Source organism: Homo sapiens, chromosome 4 (assembly GCF_000001405.40).
Source record: "Homo sapiens chromosome 4, GRCh38.p14 Primary Assembly".
NCBI lineage: Eukaryota > Metazoa > Chordata > Mammalia > Primates > Hominidae > Homo > Homo sapiens.
Window position 1 is genome coordinate 114,087,831 of NC_000004.12, and position 3,184 is coordinate 114,091,014.

The 3,184-nt window shown below is 30.9% G+C and overlaps 1 annotated feature.

Annotated features, from left to right (window-relative positions):
- Positions 256 to 936: an enhancer, noted in NCBI's record as "NANOG hESC enhancer chr4:115009242-115009922 (GRCh37/hg19 assembly coordinates)". NCBI's record gives its function as "activates a minimal SCP1, AML or CMV promoter by ChIP-STARR-seq in primed H9 embryonic stem cells {active_cell/tissue: H9 hESC(primed)}" and the evidence as "EXISTENCE:reporter gene assay evidence [ECO:0000049][PMID:30033119]".

Here is a 3,184-nt window from a genome sequence, read left to right on the forward strand (position 1 = left end):
CTTTAAATCTGGTCATGACAAACTGGAGAAAATTATCCTGTAAAACTTGAGAATATGCTCAATTCTGTTCTCTGAAATCAATTCTGGGAAGATATCCATATCATTTTGGAATAGCAAACAGATTTGTCTGGTGGAATTTTGCCAGGAAAAAAAAGTAATGTAGACATGTTGTGCTTTATTGTAGAAACACAAAGCATTCCTCTCTGCTAATGATTTATGAACAGGAAAATGAGGCATCTTTGCAATTATCACCTTCCCTTTATGCTGAAATATTCTGTTTACATCACTGCATACGTGTTCACATCACTTCAAATGTTGTCACTGTATATTACTAGGCATATGGTTATAATCCTATTTGAAAAAACAAAACAGCAATATATCACATAGCAATAAGCATTTTAGCTATTACTTCAATCTAGCCCAAATCCCACATTAATATTAGTTTGATAATATGAATAGGTTAAATTTCATTAAACAAACAAGACTGTTACAATTGCTTAATTCTCTATTTAATACTTAGACATTGTTATTACAATAGGTAACATTAGCAATAACAATGACCAGACAATGACCCCTTTCAAGAAGACAGCCATTGTGTTCACTTTACATTATTAAATATAAAATTGCTTCCATTGTGTTATTTATTCTTTAAAGTAGTCCCTTAATGTATGCATTATACCATTTTACATATGAGTACACTGAAGTATAGAGAGGTTAAGCAATGTGCCCAAAGTCACACAGACAACAATCAGCAGAGCTAGGATTCAAGCTCAAACTTTAAATATGCTAAAGCAATAGGAGAAGGCTTGTTGAAGAAAGTGGTGTATGTTTTGCAAACTACTTAGTCATGATTCAATGGGAAGAATTTCTGATATGTGGAATAATGGGACCAAAGAGCAACAATAGAGTGAAGATGTGCAGGACACAAATGTGTGTGGGCAGTCTGAAATGATAAAACATAAAGGGTGTAGAGAAATCTACATAACTCAAGCAATAAAAATATTGTCTTATAATAAAAATTAATTAGTATCAAACTGTAACACAGTTCCTTGGGAAAAAATATCTCTAAAGTTTTGAGGGAAATATATTACATGAGAAGATGACCAAGCTATTATTTATGTGTGAAGGCAATTGAAAGTCTTAGGAATATGAGGAATGAGAAAAAAATTACAGCTCCCATAATCATCCTGGAAAAAAAAAGCCTTGAAAAATTATGCCAATGGAGAAATAAATCGGAACACTCAAGATTGAAGAAGAGGAAGCATAATAAAAAGAAATGGGCAATAAACCCAGTGAAACTTAAAGTTATTGTCTAAAAGTTGTGGTTATTATTACTAAATAATGCAGCTGTTGATATGGTTTCGCTGTGTCCCCACCCAAATCTCATCTTGAATTGTAGCTCCCATAATCCTCAAGTGTTGTGGAAGGGACCTGGTGGGAGGTAACTGAATCATGGGAGCAGGTTTTTCCTGTGCTGTTCTTGTGATAGTAAGTCTCACAAGATCTGATGGTTTTATAAAGGGAAGTTCCCTTGTACACACTTTCTTGCCTGTCACCATGTAAGACATGACTTTGCTCCTCCTTTACCTTCCACCATGATTGTGAAGCATCCCCAGCCATGTGGTACTGTGAGTCTATTAAACCTCTTTTTCTTTATAAATTACCCAGTCTCAGGTATTTCTTGATGGTAGTGTGAAAATAGACTAATATAGCTGTCAAATTGTTCATAAATTAATGGTACATATTGTAAAGTAGTAACAAAATATGGAAGTAAGTTTTGGATTATTCCAACAACAACAGCAAAAAGAAAGTATGAGAGAAGCAACTGGGAATAAAATGAAGTTTTTATGTTAAAATGAGGGAATGAGTAATTATTGTTTTTTGATTTATAATGTTAGAAAAGTATATGTTCACATTTTAAAAAGTGTATAGATAACTATTAATAGAGTTAAAAACAAAATATAGAACATTTGAGTCTTTAGAGAAAAAGCATGAGCTAAGAAACCATGCTCAATACATGAAGATAAAAACAAAAACAGAAATATAAGAAAATATAAAATAAGATTACAAATAAACAAAGTTGTCAGTTTTTATTACAAATATGATTGAGTTCAAAGTCTTATTAAAATAAGAGACTCAGTTTAAAGAAATAAATTATAAAATAGTTCAATGACATTCTGCTTATGATACACAAAATAAAATATTAAACTAAGAAGAAGGCTAAAATAAACATTGCAAATATTATCCAGGCATTGAAAGCACAAAAAATCAAGAACAACAATATTAATAACAGATGATATAAAAATTCAAGACAAAAAGGCTTAAAATAACAAAAAGAATGGCTTATATTTGCAATGTCCAACTTATAGTTAAAATATAGAGATAACGAACATTCATGCTCTAAATAACATAATTTCAAAATCTGCAAAGCAAAAATTGTTAGAAATATGGAATAGTAAAAGAGGATATGTTACAAGCAAAGAAAGATTTTTAATCTGATCATTTTTATGTCAAGTAGACAAAATACATATGTAAATAATTTAAATAAACCTGCAAATAAATTTCATATCAAAATGATTCTTCCTCAAGATTCTCCTCAGCTACTGATTATCAACTTTTTTTTCCCCCACACTGTCTCCTGCTTATCCTCTGAATCTCATTTTCTTGATGTGTAGACACCCTAACATAATAGAGAATTATATCCAGCCTTCTGTATTTGTCCAGTACTTCCACATCCAGCACCTAAGACTATCTTTAAATATGAGAAAGGCCAGTGAACAGAAGAGCCACTGGTAATTAATATTTTCATCATCTTAAAAAGTGGAAGAGGTTAGGTGTGATAGAAAAAATATAAAAAGCAAATGTATTTTTCAGTTACAAAGATGTTTTGTATTAATTTATAGTGGGACAAAGTATAGTGTAAATCAAATGGTATTAAGCATGAAGTAATTCTGTTCTGTAAAACTTTCAGATGCTTTTCTGGGTGATGTGTGGAGAATATAAATAGTATTTACTATAGCAAAAGGAATATTATTGTATTCTTTTTTCAGTCCAATATTTTACGTATTTTAAGCTTCCTTTCCCATTGGGGATGGAATATCTTTTTCAAAAAATAAATAATGTAACACCCATTTCCCATAATCTTTGACTGTTGGATGTTGAACCAATGTAGAAATATCAACAA